Genomic DNA, 14,333 nt, shown 5'->3' with positions numbered 1-14,333 from the left:
CTAATTCTGTTTTTAAAGTCTTTAAAAATTCTGTTTTTAAAGACTAATTCTATTTTTAAAGGTTTCAGGCCAGTGCTATAAAGGTCAAAGTGTGATAGTATGATCCCGAGCAATTTAGATTAGTAAGGTTTTACAATCCTCAGCACTTAACAAGAATGTTCCATTATCACAGCAAATACAGTGGAACATTCATAAATATCTGCATGAAAGTCATAAAACCTATAAAGGCATCTACATACACTTATCAAAATCCAAATACTCCATTATTTCTCAACTAGCCAGTTAGAGGACCACATTTGTACTACATCTCTTCTATTCTAAGGTACATATGTTCTTATTTAACATTCCTAAAATTAGGAGATCTTAAAAAAATCAAATAAATGATCTGAGACTTGATGGCACATTGTAATACATCCACTCAAAGTAACTTAGTTCACAAACTCAGAAAAAAAATTTTAGATCATAATGTGAAGATATTTGCCACATATCAAATAAGGCATTCTCAATCATGTACACAAATCCATTCTGGGTATAGCTGGCCTGGTTAAAAAGCAACTCATGATAATTTCTGTCACATAGCCCTAGAAAGAACGTCAGCAAATTTTTAAAGTCTGTATAAGTTTGTTTAGACAACATACTGGGAGAAGCACAAGCATGCAGGCAAAGATACCCCAGGAATGAAAAACCTAGCTTCATTACTGCCCAAGGTCATCTAACTAAGCAACTTACTCTTCTCTGCCTCATTGCAATTCAGGCATGTGAAGCAAAAGAGAAATACCTGGCTGGGCTGTTATTAGTTTAGAAATAATTTATGTAAATCACTTGACAGTGTTCGAAAGCTCTTATCTTCCAGTTTGTCTAAACTTAATTGCATCATAGTGACAGGAATATTTCTGAGATACTCTGGAGGCTATAATACAGAGATTTCCTAACCTCGTTGCTATTCATCACTCCAAATCCAGCATTCCCTTAGAGTTGCACACTCAATCACTTCTGTTCCTTAAGACCCAAAAGCAAAAATTAAGACTTAAGCATGTTTTTCTGCTTCTCTACTTTTGGCTTTAAGATCAAGGTAGGAAAGGAGTAGGTTTTATTTCTCTTATGTACACACAAGATTTGGGATCTGTCCATAGTGAATATGAAATATTCAGTGGATGCTATTGACAAGGCACAAGACAAAAGGTCCACAACTGAGAGGACTCAATAGCAAGGCTAGAGTATGTGAGGCTCTAGCCAAACTCCCCACACCACCCACCCACATCCCCATCAACATTGGGCTGCTTCTCTCTACCCTGGACAAAAAGCTCTATTTCTTAATAACTTGGCATAAACACCTATATCTAATGATACTACTCCTATTTCTCCTCCAGGACATGGACCAGGCCCCTTCGGTGGGGAAAAAAAAAAAATTCATCACCAAAACAAACAAGGATTCAGGTACCTTCAGGATCTGGCATGTCATTCTGTGAGGCCTTGGAAATCTATGTTCTTATTTAATAATGTGTGCGTGTGCTCTACTCTTGGGCATTTTATAAGTGAATATACCCCTATTATACACAAAATTGAGCATGAGATAAACAATAACTATGGGTTAGAGATTTTTATTTCTCAGTATGAAGCCAAAAGAAGTCTAGTGATTGGTCAGCCAAATTGTTGACCCAGATACACTAATTCCTTCGACGATTTTCTCCATATCTCAGTAAATTAAATAGAATACAGAAAAAAGCATTTCAAAACAATTGACAGCCATCAGTATTACTATAATGTAATGAAACAGTGAACTATAGTAATGACAGTAATACTTGATAAGCATCTAGGGACTTCTCCCTCAAATTGCTCAAAGCACACAGAGCAAACCCTTGTTAAATTGACAGTGGTTAATACAAACACAGCTTAATTCAAAGCAGGTGCTTCTCCCAAGCCCACAAGAACCCCACTTTTTCCTTTAACAGCTTAGGAAAAATTGGCTTATCTACAGTGTGGAGATTCAACATGTGTTTTTAATCTAATGAGATTTTATTACACTATAAAAATATCAATCATTTACATTTAAGAATAATGTTAGTATGAGTTACTGAGTGTACAAGTATACCACGTTTTTTTTTAATTAAAAGTTTTACAGTAATTCTTTGGGAACATGTTTTCTTAGGTTTACTGTGCATATTTGGTCAATGGTGTCTGAAGCACTAGTACCAAAGTCTTCAAAATATAAAGTGACACAGAATCCTGCCTCCCAGGTTAGTAGGGGCACTCTGAAAGGCATGTCTCTGAAAAACAAAGGATAAATCCACCAACAACCAATGCCACCCAGGACTGCTGCTCAGCATGACAGAAACCATACCAGGGCAATTACCCCTAAAACATAACTGCTCCATTAACCTAAACTCTAAAAAAGGAACACTAAACAGCCAATAAACAACATTCATGCCTACTCTATTTAACATTTGATAGTCAGGTTCTACTTTTTTAAAGAAAAAAAATAAAGTTTTATCTTAATGCATTTTGACATAATATTATACTTCCCAGTTTCTTGACATTTCATTGTACACAAGTGACACTGGAACTAAATAATAAGCATGGCTTTCATCTCAAACAGTACCTATTGCTATTTATAATTTTTTAATGCCTAAGGTAAAAAAACAAATATTTCAAATAACATAATCAAGATTTTTCATGTTGTTAGTGTAATAGCATTTAATGAATAAAGCAAATGAGAGAAGTCCAAAAGGAGCAGCTAAGTTTTCTCTAAGAGGAAAATGTGACTGCGATGTACATTTGAATTCAGTAAAGACAAGATTTTGAACACCTATTCCAAAAAGAAAAATATTCCTAAGCTCTACAAAAACCTTTCAGATAATAGCTTCTTATCTAAAGGATAACCTCTTTATGACCAAAATGACACTTTTCACAGAAATGAAGGGAAAAAAATGGAACGACAATAAAAATAAACTCACAAACAATGTGAAGCTTTGGGTTAGATTTGGTGTCACTGACTAGTTTAGATTTTAAAAAGTGAGGGAAATAAAACTTTCTAAGGAAACATTCAAATCAGATTTAAAAATTTCAAAGATTTTAGAAAATACAGAAAGAAGTTTGGTCTTGAAAAAGTTAATTCAATTGTGTTGGCCCCACATACACAGAGGCAAGAGCAAATAACTTAGCTGTCTGTTCTCTGTTCTCCAGCTTTGCTATTCTAATAAAATGGATAAATTGTTGATTTTATCAACAATTTGATTAACCATAAATGTCAGAAAAACACATTTGTTTTAATATCTGCTCCCAATGGAGAAAAGGGATAAGTTTTAAATGGCCTAAATTCTCAAAAATAAAGAGCTTGTAGTTTGTAAGCAAAATTTAAGCAGCCAGAGGCCAGATTTTTTCCTCTGTGTTTTCCTACAGGAGACATGTATCTTCTTAAAGTCAAAACAAGGGAAGCCAAATTATGAAAATGATCAGAATGATAATTCAATACCATTTATGGAGCACTTACTATATACAGGCACTATATACTTTATATACCTGACTTCATTTAATCATTACAACATCTTTGTGAGGTAGGGGTATCACCCAAATGATATGATTTGCCAAGTTCCAAGCAAAGAGCAATTACAACTGTCTAATTTACTATTACCAGGGTTTAGCACACAGTTTGACACAGAGCAAGCAATAAATAATTATTTGCCATAAAATTAAACTCATGGAGAAGCAAATCCATTACAGGGAGGAAAAGTAATCTGTCTAAGGTCATTCAGCTATTAACTGATATGATAAGATTAAACCCAAGTCAGGGAATACCAAAATCTCTGCTCTCTTCAAAGATGATTCTGTTCACAACCACGGATACACATCTGCTCAATGTGCTTGTTCCTTCCTGGAAAGTGACAAACTCAGCCTGGGATTTAGTAGAAACATCTCAAATAAACTGTGAAGAAATCTTCAAGTTTCTCTGTGTTCAGATCCTTCCAGTGTTTTTCTAGTTATGCCAAAGTCAAAGTTAATGTGACTTTTTTTTTGAGGAGGGCAGGCTTTGATGTTTAATACTAGACAAAGGTAAAAAGTGTACTAAGGCAGGTAACTTGACTTTAGAAGGAGTGAGGCTTACTGTAAACTTGTTCGTAAAATTTCTTAAAGTAATATTGATGACTTCTCATAAAAAATTACTTTCCAATGGGTTCCTGCTTTTAAAATGTTCTATTCTTTGCCCTTGAGCTTCTACCAAGATATTACAACTACCTATATAACCACCATGTTTTTCTACCGGAAAGTCTCAAGTATACACTTTAGATTTGTTTCACAAGATAAAAAGTGATCAGTGATTATGATATGAAGACACTGAAATGTTTCTAACACTTTATATAAAAAAATTATTTAAATGTCAGTTAAGCATTCTTAACATTTATTATTGGCACATCCGCACAAGGATTTATTAAAACTTTGAACTACCTTGAAAGGCACATAGTCCAAAGCTCCCATTTTAGTTTATTACATACAGAAATGAAACACACGCTCCTCTTAAACTGCATAAGTTTTAGATTATCTTGTAATATGCCATGTCATTATCATTATTCTGGTATAAGTAAAAGGCAACTGAAACCAAAAGTTCAGTGCCTGCTTTGCCAGATTTGCTTTGCATTTTTATAATGAGAATAAAAAGAGGATGAGTTGGCAAAGATTAAGACAGGTTTTTCCCCATCTTCAAAGCCTGGTTTTAAGATATCCAGGAAGTCTTTGTAATTGAAATCCAGTTTTCAAATAAACACGCAAAGATGTATGGTAACAGGAACCAAGGAGATAAAGGGAATAATACATACTTCCTGTCCTCAAATAGTTTCAAGTCTCTAGAAAAGCTAGACGTAGAGGAAATAAAAAGTCCTTTGAAAGCCCAGATGAGAAACCTATGTCATCTCCAATTAGATGAGTTTCCTGATTAAAAAGATGAAATGACTGCACATCTCTATATTTCCAGAGAAATCTGTGCATTTATCTTTACATAATGTATTAAATTTACAGGGCCATCTCCCCAGTCATAATGTGAACCCCACTGAGGGCAGGTCTCCATCTTATCTATGTCTGTGTAAGTATATGCCACATAGAAGATGCTGAATCAATGCTCATTATATAACAAACAAGTCATGACTTCCCTAAAACCAAAATTTCCTCTTACTGGATGAAGTGCCATTTTCTACTCTGTAGCTCCAGAAATAGATTTAAGCATACATACCCCCAATGCCTATACCCTCACACAAATAATCACTTAAATCAGGCCAGAATAGGACATGAAAGTCAGAAAAACAATGCTTAATACTTCTGGTTACTGGTAAAGCTCACATAAAAAAAAAAAAAAAAAAAAGACTGAGGGAACTACAGGTATTTCAGTATTAGCAATTTTAAAAGTTGGATTAAGTCAACATAGGCGGCCCTACAGACAATCATTTGAAAGAAGAATCTCTTCAACAAAAATATCTCTTTGGTTTAACCCTTCAAATGTCCTTGTTGTAAAACAAATGCTAACTGATCAGAGGAGACAAAACAACTTTCATTCTCCCATGAAGGGACTCATGTCAACTGCTATTTAGATTGGCCACCAAGTGAGGCCCTTTGCAGTAATGAACATAAGATAGGATCGTTTTAAAGATACAGACCCTGGCCAGGGAAGTCCACAGCATGAAGGCTTATCCAGCAGGCCAAGACAGAATCAGACCCCAGGGCTTTTTTGGATTTGAGGGAGTAGAGAGCAAAGGAAGAAGCACTGGCATTCAGAAACGTGGCTATCTGAGAAATAGATTAAGAACTAGAAATGGAGAAAAACAGATATAGACAAAACTTGAATTATTCAATGGCTTGTCCCAGCATCAGACCTGCCTCATATCCCACAACCGTTCCCTGCAGCTAGGACTCTTAGATATTCAAACTTTGTCATTAAAGAGCATTTCCAAATTTGACCATACATTTTTGCCAATGGTCTTAAACAGAGCCTCAGCCACCCAGAATTAATGTTCCATCCCTTCCAGTAAGCACTTCACAACAGAGAATGGTTGAATGGGATAGAGACATATACAATGCAATAAACTTCCTTTTCATTTTATGCTCTTCTAATAGTTGGCAGAAAGGGTACATTTTAAAATAGTCACATGAGTTGACAGGTGGAAGTCACCATGCTCAAGTTGCAGATCCAAGTTTGGATATCGTTAAGCTTGCTTAAAAAAAAAAAAAAAAGATGAAGATGTTGAGAAACTCATTTGAAAGACATGTACTTGCAAAAAAAAAAAAAGTAAAACTAGGTTTAAATTATTTTAAAAAGCAGAAATTAAATAATTCAAACTAGGTATATTTTACTTATATGAATAAACCTTAAATACACATATACACTTACATACCTCAAGCCCAATTTGGCAGACTGTTAAAACAGAGTGCCATCTGGGAACCTGATTCCTAAGAAATGACTTCAGAGCACTACCACAAAATCAAGCACTCTTGTGAAGCTTTAGCGAACAGTTACATCCTTAAAATATCATTTTGAGACTCTTTTATTTTCCTGATGGGAATATGTTAACACTAATTTTCATTCCAACTACTGTTCCTTTGGCAACTAGCATGTGTAAAGAGAATAGATTTTTAATATCTGTACTTTCATTTTAATCGACTTAAAAAAACAAACTCCGTTAATATCAATGTTTACTTAAAGTTATACTTTATACTTAAAATATCAATACTCTAGATAATAGAGTAAGTCTACACTAGAAAAGAATTTCTTTGCATGACAAGCAGTGTTCAAAGTCATTGCCACTCTGTAATGATATTATCAACAGAATGTATCTGAAGACTTGCCAAAAACTGGATTGGAATGGTAAGGGGGTGGAAAGAAGAAACATGTTTACAATCTGTTCAATTTCTCAGCTTAAAATTTTTGATATATAGAGCAATGGTTTAAATACAAGACTTAGTTTCTGAGTCAAATTGCCCAAGTTAAAACCTTTAATGGTTAAACCCTACCTTTCTGCCAACTTCAAGTTCTCCAATACAGGACCTCTAGGCTACTCTGTCAAGTTGCTTTCTACTACAAGCCATTGATCTGTACCTCTCCTAATGACCAGATGCCACCACAAAGACCATGACGCTTGCCAGAGGAGCTCTCCAGTGTGCTGTGGCAGGCTGGTGGGGCCATTATGCTTGATCTCCTACAGCCCTTTTATGGAAGGCCTGCACAGATGGCTCTGTGGGAACTTCACCACGTTTTCTTTGTGGAGAGTATGTGCTCAGTATGGATGTTTAGTAAATGGTTAAGAATGATGATCCAGTTTTTCATCCACACAAAAGATTGATTTCATGGCCTCAGATCGGGGTAGATCTCAATCTACCATTCATGGAGACTAAATCATAAATTTGCTTATTAGCATTTTGAGAAGAAAAGAGGTTGGATCCTACCCATTAAGTCAGGAATATCAAAATTAAAGGTGTCACCTGATGCTTGAATACATGTAGTCCCTAAATAAATAGAATAATTCAAACACACTTGAAAAAATTAAAACTACTGCTTCCTACAAAGTAAAATAATTATTAGAAAATTAGAACACATAAGAGGATAATTTACAGAAATATAAAGAATACTCTAGCTCTGTCTGATTGGTGAAAAGTTATTACTGTGAATTAAATTGTAAACTTCAGATAGCTAGAAAACTGAAAAACAGTTGGAGTCCTGGATTATTGAAACTATTCATTAACAACAGCTCTTTACTTGCTTCTGCTATTGCCACTCATTTTCAACATACACAACTCTGCTTGGGCTCCATACAGCAACTATCACCACTGCCCACTAACAAAAAAGTTCCCCTCATTTGCCAGCACAGAGGATATCGACTGTCCTTTCCTATTTGCTCTCAGTATGCGTCATGATTAGATTGAGTTTGCAGCAAGGCCAACAACAAGTCTATGCACCGGTAGATTCAGTCTGGGCAGTTATAATACAGCATTTTAAATAATCAAATCATTTGCTACACCTTGTTAAATTTAATGCATACAGATATGCAAAATAATTTCAAAGTACTCACACATATTACCACACTCTCAGACAAGTTACAATGCACCTTCCCATTTAAACAGACAATAAACATACTAACACAGAAATGCATAAATTATGTCTGTATATAAAAGTTATATTTTAGTAGAGTGTCAAAGGTGTCATAGTCAGTATCCTTCATTTCCACATGACTATTTTGCTGGCAGGGAGGGAATAAACAAGAAATTCTAAATCTAAAGCTAGAGTTTCTCAACTCCAGTACTATTAATATTTGGAGTAGGAAAATTCTTTGTTGTGGAGGCTATCCCGTGCATTAAAGTGTATTCAGCAGCATCCCTGACCCATTAGATGCCTGTAGCACACTCACCCAGCTATGACAACTGGAAGTATCTCCGGAAGTGGCCAAACATCCCCTGGTTGGCAAAACTGCCCCCAGTTGAGAACCACTGATCTAACCAACACTAAGTCCTTTGATCTACAATAATGACAGGACAAGAATTTTGACCCAAAGGAGTCTCCACATTATATATTTTTAAAAAGCTAAAATGCATTACTATTTAGTGAGCAATTATTTGCTTTTCTTTAAATCTGCTTCCTTTACTAAAAGTGCTATCTCAGGGCATAAGAACTTGGACAACATTTTTTAAAAAGTTGCTTGCCACTTTCCTGTGTCTCATCTGGGAGGCTCCAGTGCTTCCACTGCAGCATACCCAGGGTCAACCCCTTTGCTTTTTGGTCCAATGAGATAGAATTATCAGGAGAAATGTTCTTAAGTGAAGTCAAGGTTCCCACTCAGGCATTCTCACAGGTACTACTTAGGCACACCTTGCTTTGACGAACTTGTGGTTTCCACTGAAACAAGTTGTTCTGCATGCTTCTCACTACAGCTATAACTACGTGACCTCGCAGTTTCAGTTTGTCAGTAATTTCACTGAAGGCAGAGCCCAGATACTAATTTGTCTGAAACATTTTAGGCCCAACATCTCATGAAACAGGCTCCAGGCAAGAACTCTTGGACTTGGGAGCCAACAAACATGTTTCACCTAGTCTTTAGCCTACTCAAATATAGGCTACAGACTTTCAAAACAGAGTATATTATTTTAGGGGGAAGCACGTTAACGCTTAACAAGCATCAACAACTTAAGGAAAAGACTTTCAAAGTCTAAAGTTTCTTTGCCCATCAGATAGGCCTTATGAAGAAATATGTTGATAAGGAAAAATAAAACAAATACACCCAAATATTTAATTTTTATGGAAAGTAAACATGACCCCTACATACTACAGAAGCAAACATTTCACTTTGGTGATGAAATTTAGAATCTCTAAACTATCTTTCGATTAGTCAGAAATGCAGGCAGATTTATCCCTCCCACGTACATTTAATTACCATGGAGTTTAGAAAAGCTTATTCAACAGAACTAGAAGCAGGTTCAAAACAGTGTTCATTTAAAAACATATATTGTTAGACTTTGGAAGACTAAGTCTACCTGGATTTGGGGCTGTTCTGTGTACTGCTGGAAGACAATGTGTACTATCAAAGATACTTACATAGCTGGTTATTTTTCTTCAGAAAAAATAATTGGTCATCCAATTTTAAAAATAACTATTAAAGGTTTTACACAGGGATATTAACCACATAAGTTAAATCTTTGAACTGGTAGAAACAGATTTTTCCATTTTCATTATTTCTATAGATAGAATAAGGTGTTTATTTTCTCCCTTGCAAAAATGTTAATTAGGTTTAAGAGGCAGGATGACAAAGAGATAGTTATTATAAAATTAAATAATTTTCCTGTCACCTTTATCTAGTAACATGATTATTGATTGCCTGGAAGCAAATTAGATTTATAGGAAATATAAATAAATATCATAAGAGCTTAAAACCAGATTTCCTGAAACTGTATACTCCCACACAAACACCATTTTTCACCAAAAATCTAACAGATACTGGCATACGTGTTCTCACCCCCACTTTCACTTTCTCATCCACACTATTAAAATCGTGAAAAACAGCTCATTTTTAAAAGTCAGCCACAACTGACAAGGTCCTTGGCATTACATGTTGGTCCCAGGCGCTGCTGCCTTCACAATATTAAGAGATTCTTTTTTACTACTGTCCTATCTAATTTTTATGCTAATAATTATGTCTTAATTCCAAATATATAAAAAAATTTAAAGATTGTTGTTACTCTGCAAGCTATAATATAACCCCTAAATTCACTTTATGAGTATCCTCAACATTAGCAACCAAACACTACCATGTTGGACACACATTAAAATATTAACACTACCATTTTTGTCGGTATAGAGATTTATAGTAAGACTATGCTATGTTATGAGTTACAAACAGCTTCACCTTCACAGTCCCTAAGCCATTTTTAAAACAGTCTCTTTTAGAATGAGAACAGAGGAAAACAGAGAGAACAGAAGAATTTTTCTGTAATCATGAACTCTCAGCAATTCTTTTCACTTAAGCTACAAGCCCTAAGTTTAAATATATATATATATATCTAACAAACTGTTGAAACTTACTTGACAGTGACTCGATTTGATAAATCCTGTAGATCTCCAGGATGGAAAAGCTGGGCTTCTTTCAATCCAATCTGTTCACAAGCTTTCAAGAAAACGTTTATATTATCCTGTGAAAAGAAGTGGAAAGTGATTGCTTAGCTGAGCTCTCTCTCAGACAAAGGTTACAAATTTTTATGATATAACTTCGAAGCTTCAAAGTCCAATTACAGTCAGCAAAAGAGGCAGCAGCAAGACCCATGCATATGTATATTTGAAAAAAAATACATAGGGCTTGTACAGCCTTTCAGTCCTCCAGAGCATACACAGTCGTGCTATCTTATGCCCGGGCATACACTGTTTCTGTGATCTTTGTGACTGGCACGTTAAACATTACCTGTTACAGGACAAGTGCCTAGCCACTGAGCAGTAATCTACACTTTGATGTCAGCTCTGCTCTGCAAACAAACGCCCTCTTTCCAGCTTTGCACGGCAAGCCTCACCTCTCCTCTTTAAAAATAACTCCAGCTACTGACATTCACCCACCCAGAAACTGTTGGCAGGGAAGAAATAAGAGGAGGAACATTCTGTTTCTATGATTACAAATTACAGAACGACTGTGGAATACCACACCTGGAATCTGGGTTTGGTTGTTGAGCTGGCTCTTGACAGGCAGGGAAACCATACTATAGGACTGAGGAGAAACCTAGTGTTCATTGGCTAAATTGCATAGTTTGTGTGGCACATTACTCACTCCCTGCACCTGCCTCAAGAGCTGCCTCCAAAAATATGAAAGCCTATCCCCTCCCTCCAAGGTTGCCCTCATATCTAATTTCAAAACCCAAATCCTCCATTCACAAACCAGTGCTCTTCGTTAATGTAAACTGCTGTGCAAACACAGATTACAGTATATGCTATTTTAAAGCCAGCCACATTTCAGAGACATACATTTGGTTACCAGAATTAACTTAGGCTTCATCTCTACTACTCTAAAAAAAAAAAAGAAGAAGAAAAGAAAACACTTTATGGGGTTGAACTTGTGACAATCCCAGGCGGGTTCTCCATATTAACTGTTACAGTTCGCTGGTAAAGGGGTGGCCTCCCAGCATGCCAACACACATCTGTCCACTGAGGCAGCTGGTAATGCTGCCTCTATGGCGTGAGCCTCCTTGAAACCTCACCTCCCTCCCTAAGAGGCGACTTTCACAGACCAGAAGATAGTCTGCCACTTGGAGAAAGGCAATTACTCTTTTCCTAAGATAAAGTGGCTAAATTCTACAGCTTGGGTTCTTGGAGAGTAAGGGGATTCCGGGAAAGCACAAGGAAAGGTGTGGCAAGAGAAAAGCGCCACTGATTACTAAGGAAAGAGACATTCTAAAAAGTCACTATTTGTACAGGCAGGATCCTGGTCATTCCAATCTACTGTGAGTAAAAGGCAGTGCGAACTACCTAGCTGAAAGATGAAATCCACGAATCGTTTTAAATAAGATGAAGTCAAAGAGTAAAGAAACTTGCAAGTCAAAAGTTGAACAGCTCAATGAAAGGTGTTTATTTTGTTTTTCATTTGACTTATTATGGAAAAAGGAGACACAATTTATTGGCAAAATTCCAAGAGGAGCAAAATGTGATAATTTTGTTAGGCCCATAGTTTCTAAAAAGTATACTATCTGTAATTATCAAATGATACAAATTAATGGTTTTAAAATTGGCCCTCTGAGAAGCAGGCAAGAAAAGATGGTTGGATGTACCAATACCCCAAGTTCCATAATGATATGGTTTGGCTGTGTGTCCCCACCCAATTCTCATCTGAAATTGTAATCCTCACTTGTCAATGAAGGACCTGTAATCCCTGCATGCCAAGGGAGAGAGGCGATTGGATCATGGGGGCAGTTTCCCCCATGCTGTTCTCGTGATAGTGAGTGAGTTCTCAAGAGATCTGGTGGTTTTATAAGGAGCTCTTCCCCCTTCGCTCTCTCTCACCTGTCACCATGTAAGACATGTCTGCCTCCCCTTCCCCCATGACTGTAAGCTCTCTGAGGCCTTCCCAGCCATGCAGATCTGTGAGTCATTTAAATCTCTTTGCTTTGTAAATTACCCAGTCTCAGGCAGTTCTTTACAGCAGTGTGAAAATGAACTAATACACACAGGATGCAAGTCTCATATCAATAAAGGAAAAACAAACCATTAGAAGTCTTCACACCAATTCAACCAATTTGATTTGGTTCTGAATGTTTAAAGTATTACAAAAATATTAAAATAAGGTTAAACTAAAAGTAAACTTACTCAAATGAGAGCCAAAATGATTCTTCACATATTTCATACAAACATAATAGCATTCATCTAGTTGACAAATAGGTACAGATTGATAAGGATAGATAAATAAAGCCAAACTCTCCTCAAAAACCACCAAAGTAGAGAGAAAGAACTTGACATCTAAAGTGACTATACTTAGTTGAAGACAAAGTTCAAGAGAAGATACAAATTAATATGGCTAAATTCTAGCCTTAAATAAAGACTTTATTTTAACCAAAACAGCAGAATATCTTTTAAATCATTCAACGATGCTCAAGTTTAACACAGTACAACTTTGTAAACAAAGTCACACATGGCCTATGCAGCAGGACGAGGTTGTACTAAGATTGGTAATGTAGTCTCAGTCATTCCTACTGGATTTGAGCTCACTGGTAATTTATTCCTTGCAATTTCAAAGGATGCAGGCAAAGAGGTCCCTAAGGGTATATATAAAATTATAAAATAAAATTTTCATGACAGTTAAAACTTCAAGAAGCCACACCCAGCTCAACACATTAAAAGGGAAGTATTTAGTTGTTTAATGAAATAATTTTCACTTGAAATTAGCAAAAATAAAAGGGAAAATAAAGGACAAATTAAAACTAATCTTATCTAATTGGACTAGTCACCAGGACTCCAAGTTAACTTTGTCCCTAAACAACTGTGTGGCTTTGGAAAGAGAGTTAACATTTCTGGCCCCATTTTCCTCATCCCTGAAATGAGCAGTTTGTGAATCTGTAACCCATTATCAAGGGCAATCATTTTTCTCTGCAAAAGAAGAGGAGCCCAACCCTCCCTGGCCCAACCCATCACACAAATATTTCATTACCCAACTTCCATAAAATACTTCATGTCAAAATCCTGCTCTAAACATCTGTAAACCCTGTACTTTCAGGACCAAAAGTGGCTTCTCAAAGACAAACCAACATACACACACACACACACACACACACACACACACACACACACACACACACACAGAAACAATGAGCCCTAAATGTATCTAATAGCTCCTTTAAGCTTTAAATTTTTCTATGACTATGAATAAAGGGAGACACTACAAATTAAAGGTTCTAAAATTGGCCCTTTGAGAGGCAGGCAAGAACAGACACATGGCTTTAAGATTTTCATATTGTCTCCAATCTCCCTTCCACCCCTTATCCTTGAATCAATTATAAAGCAGCCATAACAGGTGTGGGGTGGAGTGGGCTAGGGTAACTTAGAGAGCTTAATGATCAGGAACAGCAGTTCTTACCACTGAGGTAGGATGGGGAAGCCACAAAGATCTACCAAGATAATCAAGGTTTGTATTTGTTCACTGTAGTACCCTATTAGTTATCTATTGGTGCATAATACATTATCCCCAAATTAAGCAGCTTAAGGGAATAGGTGTTTATGATTTCATTTAGTTTCTGAAGGTAATTCAGGAGTGGCCTTAGCTGAATAGTTCTGAATTGGGGGACCCTTCATTAGGTTGTAATTGAGATGTCAGCCATGACTACAGTCATCCCAAGGC

At 36.3% G+C, this 14,333-nt stretch overlaps 1 protein-coding gene across 55 annotated transcripts in view; it reads right to left on the bottom strand.

Annotated features, from left to right (window-relative positions):
* Positions 1-14,333, bottom strand: part of LMO7 (LIM domain 7) — a 239,437-nt gene that overhangs the window by 88,283 nt on the left and 136,821 nt on the right. For 29 of the 55 annotated variants that reach the window (NM_005358.5, XM_047430323.1, XM_047430329.1 and 26 more), the window contains one exon: positions 10,550-10,656. In NM_005358.5, coding sequence (NP_005349.3) covers positions 10,550-10,656 — 107 coding nt within the window. Of the gene's footprint in view, positions 1-10,549; positions 11,269-14,333 lie in introns of those variants that run through there. The other 26 variants (XM_047430314.1, XM_047430318.1, XM_047430325.1 and 23 more) reach the window with 6 other exon arrangements.

The sequence above is a fragment of the Homo sapiens genome, chromosome 13 (assembly GCF_000001405.40).
Source record: "Homo sapiens chromosome 13, GRCh38.p14 Primary Assembly".
Classification (NCBI taxonomy): Eukaryota; Metazoa; Chordata; class Mammalia; order Primates; family Hominidae; genus Homo; species Homo sapiens.
This window is presented reverse-complemented; position numbering and strand designations above follow the sequence as displayed.